Source organism: Homo sapiens, chromosome 8, assembly GCF_000001405.40.
Source record: "Homo sapiens chromosome 8, GRCh38.p14 Primary Assembly".
Lineage (NCBI taxonomy): Eukaryota > Metazoa > Chordata > Mammalia > Primates > Hominidae > Homo > Homo sapiens.
In genome coordinates, this window is record NC_000008.11 from 99,942,677 (window position 1) to 99,949,250 (window position 6,574).

General features: G+C 46.7%; 2 annotated features.

Moving 5' to 3' along the window:
* Positions 507 to 1,706: an enhancer, noted in NCBI's record as "CDK7 strongly-dependent group 2 enhancer chr8:100955411-100956610 (GRCh37/hg19 assembly coordinates)". NCBI's record gives its function as "activates an origin of replication core promoter dependent on BRD2, BRD4, P300/CBP, MED14 and CDK7 cofactors, with strong dependence on CDK7, by STARR-seq in HCT116 cells {active_cell/tissue: HCT116}" and the evidence as "EXISTENCE:reporter gene assay evidence [ECO:0000049][PMID:35650434]".
* Positions 4,470 to 4,970: an enhancer, noted in NCBI's record as "H3K27ac hESC enhancer chr8:100959374-100959874 (GRCh37/hg19 assembly coordinates)". NCBI's record gives its function as "activates a minimal SCP1, AML or CMV promoter by ChIP-STARR-seq in naive H9 embryonic stem cells {active_cell/tissue: H9 hESC(naive)}" and the evidence as "EXISTENCE:reporter gene assay evidence [ECO:0000049][PMID:30033119]".

Here is a 6,574-nt window from a genome sequence, read left to right on the forward strand (position 1 = left end):
AGACTAGGAAGCCTTATTGAATTTGCTGGCTCAGTTTCCCCTCAATGGTCTTACAGATGCTAATTAAAATATTAGATTAATTAACAAAAGAATGAGAAAAGGCAGAGGCGAAAGTCAAAGGACTCTTCTAACAAGGTGGAAAATTTTAAATGGTTTTTAAGAAACAAGTGAATATAGTAAACATTGATGGGTACAAAACAAAGACGAGAAAGAAAGGGGAGAGCCAAGAGACCTGTCCAGTCAGAGTGGAAATCTTTAAGTGGTTGTTACAATATTGCATGAATAAAATGAACATTGATAGGGTTAAAACAAAGGTCTTACTACAACGTTATGGAAGGTTGGTCAGGCTAAAGGAATGTCCGGCTGGTTCCCTAACATTAAAGAGTCTCAAAGAAGTCCACTCTATTATCACATATGAAGAAATTTTAAAAGGCAGAGGGCAAAGATGACAAGGAGAAACTTGACCCAAAATGGCTTAGGGCAATGCTTAAGCAGATAAGTCAATATGAAGACACAAAGATCAGGGTCTCCTAGCTCAAACCCCTGCTGGGGACCCAAAGCCTTTTGCCCATGAGTGGGAAAATAGGTCAGGGGGTGAAGAAGAGAAGTTTCTGGGACTCCTTGATATGGGAGCCCCACATACTATGGTACTGAAACCCATTTGTGAAGCCCTAATACAAGCTACAATTAGATTGAGAGGCTGGACAACCAAAATGAGTGACTGAGGCATAAGTCTCAAATCACTGACGTTCACTGAGCCAGCTTGAGGGTGCACCCGGGAAATTGTGAGTCAGACACATCTGTGGCTCTTTTTTCCAAAGAGGTTCTCAGGAGCTTTAGTATTTATACATTTTCCTTAAAAATAGTGCCTTGTAAATTTACATTTTAGGTAAGTTAAGGTGAACATTTGAAGAAAAAGAGAGGAAGTAGCTGTCTCAGGGAGGAGTAAAGGATTGAGTAATCTCATCTTGTTTTTGTTCTGTACCTGGAAAGATAAGCTAGAAATGAACATTATCTGTGTCAGGCCTCTGAGCCCAAGCCAAGCCATCGCATCCCCTGTGACTTGCACGTATACACCCAGATGGCCTGAAGTAACTGAAGAATCACAAAAGTGAAAAGGACCTGCCCCGCCTTAACTGATGACATTCCACCATTGTGATTTGTTCCTGCCCCACCTTAACTGAGTGATTAACCCTGTGAATTTCCTTCTCCTGGCTCAGAAGCTCCCCCACTGAGCACCTTGTGACCCCCGCCCCTGCCCACCAGAGAACAACCCCCTTTGACTGTAAGTTTCCATTACCTTCCCAAATCCTATAAAACAGCCCCACCTTTATCTCCCTTCGCTGACTCTCTTTTCGGACTCAGCCCACCTGCACCCAGGTGAAATAAACAGCTTTATTGCTCACACAAAGCCTGTTTGGTGGTCTCTTCACACAGACGCGCATGAAATTTGGTGCTGTGACTCGGATCGGGGGACCTCCCTTGGGAGATCAATCCCCTGTCCTCCTGTTCTTTGCTCCGTGAGAAAGATCCACCTACGACTCAGGTCCTCAGACCGACCAGCCCAAGGAACATCTCACCAATTTTAAATCAGGTAAGCGGCCTCTTCTTACTCTCTTTCTCCAACCTCTCTCACTGTCCCTCAACCACTTTCTTCTTTCCACTCTTCATTCTCTCCCTTCTCTTAATTTCAATTCCTTTCATTTTCTGGGAGAGACAAAGGAGACACGTTTTATCTGTGGACCCAAAACTCCGGCGCCGGTCACGGACTGGGAAGGCAGCCTTCCCTTGGTGTTTAATCATTGCAGGGACGCCTCTCTGATTATTCACCCACGTTTCAAAGGTGTCAGACCACACAGGGACGCCTGCCTTGGTCCTTCACCCTTAGCGGCAAGTCCCGCTTTTCTGGGGAAGGGGCAAGTACCCCAACCCCTTCTCTCCTTGTCTCTACCCCTTCTCTGCTTTTCTGGGGGAGGGGCAAGTACCCCTCAACCCCTTCTCCTTCACCCTTAACAGCAAGTCTCGCTTTTCTAGGGGGCAAGAACCCCCAATCCCTTATTTCTGCGCCCCAACCTCATATCTCTGCACCCCAATCCCTTATTTCCATGCCCCAACCTCTTATCTCTGCACCCCAATCCCTTATGCCCCCTCATATCTCTGTGCCCCAATCCCTTATTTCCATGCCCCAACCTCTCATCTCTGTGCCCCAATCCCTTATGCCCCAACCTCGTATCTCTGTGCCCCAATCCCTTATTTCCATGCCCCATCCTCTTATCTCTGTGCCCCAATCCCTTATTTCCACACCCCAACCTCTTATCTCTGTGCCCCAATCCCTTATTTCCATGCCCCAACCCCCCTTCCTGCTTTTCGGGAGGGTAAGAACCCCCAAACCCCTTCCCTCCATGTCTCTACGCTCTCTTTTCTCTGGGTTTGCCTCTTTCACTATGGGCAACCTTGCATCCTCCATTCCTCCTTCTTCTCCCTTAGCCTGTGTTCTCAAAAACGTAAAACCTCTTCAACTCACACCTGACCTAAAACCTAAATGCCTTATTTTCTTCTGCAATGCTGCTTGACCCCAATACAAACTCGACAGTAGTTCCAAATAGCCAGAAAATGGCACTTTGAATTTTTCCATCCTGCAAGATCTAAGTAATTCTTGTCATAAAATAGGCAAACGGTCTGAGGTGCCTGACATCCAGGCATCCTTTTACACATCAGTCCCTTCCTAGTCTCTGTGCCCAGTGCAACTCATCCCAAATCTTCCTTCTTTCCCTCCTGCCTGTCCCCTCAGTACCAACACCAAGCGTCGCTGAGTCTTTCTAATCTTCCTTCTCTACAGACCCATCTGACCTCTCCCTTCCTCCCCAGGCTGCTCCTCTCCAGGCCGAGCTAGGTCCCAATTCTTCCTCAGCCTCCGCTCCTCCACCCTATAATCTTTTTATTGCCTCCCCTCCTCACACCTGGTCCGGCTTACAGTTTCGTTCCGTGACTAGCCCTCCCCCATCTGCCCAGCAATTTACTCTTAAAAAGGTGGCTGGAGCCAAAGGCATAGTCAAGGTTAATGCTCCTTTTTCTTTATCCCAAATCAGAAGCGTTTAGGCTCTTTTTCGTCAAATATAAAAATCCAGCCCAGCTCATGGCTCGTTTGGCAGCAACCCTGAGACGCTTTACAGCCCTAGACCCTAAAAGGTCAAAAGGCCGTCTTATTCTCAATATACATTTTACTACCCAATCTGCTCCCGACATTAAATAAAACTCCAAAAATTGGAATCTGGCCCTCAAACCCCACAACAGGACTTAATTAACCTCACCTTCAAGGTGTACAATAACAGAAAAAAGTTGCAATTCCTTGCCTCCTCTGTGAGACAAACCCCAGCCACATCTCCAGCACACAAGAACTTCCAAACGCCTGAACCACAGCATCCAGGTGTTCCTCCAGAACCTTCTCCCCCAGGAGCTTGCTACACGTGCCGGAAATCTGGCCACTGGGCCAAGGAATGCCCGCAGCCCCGGATTCCTCCTAAGCCGCGTCCCATCTGTGTGGGACCCCACTGAAAATCGGACTGTTCAACTCACCTGGCAGCCACTCCCAGAGCCCCTGGAACTCTGGCCCAAGGCTCTCTGACTGACTCCTTCCCAGATCTTCTCGGCTTAGCGGCTGAAGACTGACACTGCCCGATCACCTTGGAAGCCCCCTAGACCATCAAGGACGCCAAGCTTCAGGTAACTCTCACAGTGGAAGGTAAGCCCGTCCCCTTCTTAATCAATACGGAGGCTACCCACTCCACATTACCTTCTTTTCAAGGGCCTGTTTCCCTTGCCTCCATAACTGTTGTGGGTATTGAAGGCCAGGCTTCTAAACCTCTTAAAACTCCCCAACTCTGGTGCCAACTTAGACAATACTCTTTTAAGCACTCCTTTTCAGTTATCCCCACCTGCCCAGTTCCCTTATTAGGCTGAGACACTTTAACTAAATTATCTGCTTCCCTGACTATTCCTGGACTACAGCTATATCTCATTGCCGCCCTTCTTCCCAATCCAAAGCCTCCTTTGCGTCCTCCTCTTGTATCCCCCCACCTTAACCCACAAATATGAGATACCTCTACTCCCTCCTTGGCGACCGATCATGCACCCCTTACCATCTCATTAAAACCTAATCACCCTTACCCCACTCAACGCCAAGATCCCATCCCACGACACGCTTTAAAAAGATTAAAGCCTGTTATCACTCACCTGCTACAGCATGGCCTTTTAAAGCCTATAAACTCTCCTTACAATTCCCCCATTTTACCTGTCCTAAAACCAGACAAGCCTTACGAGTTAGTTCAGGATCTGCGCCTTGTCAACCAAATTATTTTGCCTATCCACCCCATGGTGCCAAACCCATATACTCTCCTATCCTCAATACCTGCCTCTACAACCCATTATTCTGTTCTAGATCTCAAACATGCATTCTTTACTATTCCTTTGCACCCTTAATCCCAGCCTCTCTTCGCTTTCACTTGGACTGACCCTGACACCCATCAAGCTCAGCAAATTACCTAGGCTGTACTGCCGCAAAGCTTCACAGGCAGCTCCCATTACTTCAATCAAGCCCAAATTTCTTCCTCATCTGTTACCTATCTTGGCATAATTCTCATAAAAACACACGTGCTCTCCCTGCCAATCGTGGCCAACTGATCTCTCAAACCCCAGCACCTTCTACAAAACAACAACTCCTTTCCTTCCTAGGCATGGTTAGTGCGGTCAGAATTCTTACACAAGAGCCAGGACCGCACCCTGTAGCCTTTCTGTCCAAACAACTTGACCTTACTGTTTTAGCCTAGCCCTCATGTCTGCGTGCAGCGGCTGCCGCTGCTTTGGTACTGTTAGAGGCCCTAAAAATCACAAACTATGCTCAACTCACTCTCTACATTTCTCATAACTTCCAAAATCTATTTTCTTCCTCATACCTGACACATATACTTTCTGCTCCCCGGCTCCTTCAGCTGTATTCACTCTTTAAGTCCCACAATTACCCTTGTTCCTGGCCAGGACTTCAATCTGGCCTCTCACATTATTCCTGATACCACACCTGACCCCCATGACTGTATCTCTCTGATCCACCTGATATTCACCCCATTTCCCCATATTTCCTTCTTTCCTGTTCCTCACCCTGATCACGCTTGATTTATTGATGGCGGTTCCACCAGGCCTAATCGCCACACACCAGCAACGGCAGGTTATGCTATAGTACAAGCCACTAGCCCGCCTCTCAGAACCTCTCATTTCCTTTCCATCGTGGAAATCTATCCTCAAGGAAATAACTTCTCAGTGTTCCATCTGCTATTCTACTACTCCTCAGGGATTATTCAGGCCCCCTCCCTTCCCTACACATCAAGCTCGAGGATTTGCCCCCACCCAGGACTGGCAAATTAGCTTTACTCAACATGCCCGAGTCAGGAAACTAAAATACCTCTTAGTCTAAATAGACACTTTCACTGAATAAGTAAAGGCCTTTCCTACAGGGTCTGAGAAGGCCACCGCAGTCATTTCTTCCCTTCTGTCAGACATAATTCCTCAGTTTAGCCTTCCCACCTCTATACAGTCTGATAACAGACCAGCCTTCATTAGTCAAATCAGCCAAGCAGTTTTTCAGGCTCTTAGTATTCAGTGAAACCTTTATATCCCTTACGGTCCTCCGTCTTCAAGAAAAGTAGAACGGACTAAAGGTCTTTTAAAAACACACCTCACCAAGCTCAGCCACCAACTTAAAAAGGACTGAACAATACTTTTACCACTTTCACTTCTCAGAATTCAGGCCTGTCCTCAGAATGTTACAAGGTACAGCCCATTTAAGCTCTTTAAAAAGCATCTTTAAAAAGATGCTCATTTTTATTAGCCCCCAGTCTCATTCGACACCAGACCAACTTAGACTGTGCCCCCAAAAAACTTGTCATCCCTACTATCTTTTGTCTAGTCATACATACTCCTATTCACCTTTCTCAACTACTCATACATGCCCTGCTCTTGTTTACACTGCCAGTTTACACTGTTTCTCCAAGCCATCACAGCTGATATCTCCTGGTGCTATCCCCAAACTGCCACTCTAAACTCTTGAAGTAAATAAATAATCTTTGCTGGCAGGACTATGCCGAATCTCCTTAGGCACTCTAATCAGATGTCCTAGGTCCTCCCAATTCTTAGACCTTTTATACCTGTTTCTCTCCTTCTCTTATTCCATTTTTCAATTCATACAAAACCGTATCCAGGCCATCACCAATCATTCTATACGACAAATGTTTCTTCTAACAACCCCACAATATCACCCCTTACCACAAGATCTTCCATTCAGCTTAATCTCTCCCACTCTAGGTTCCCACGCCGCCCCTAATCCCGCTTGAAGCAGCCCTGAGAAACATCGCCCATTCTCTCTCCATACCACCCCCAAAAATTTTTGCCGCCCCAACACTTCAACACTATTTTGTTTTATTTTTCTTATTAATATAAGAAGGCAGGAATGTCAGGCCTCTGAGCCCAAGCCAAGCCATCGCATCCCGTGACTTGCATGTATACGCCCAGATGGCCTGAAGTA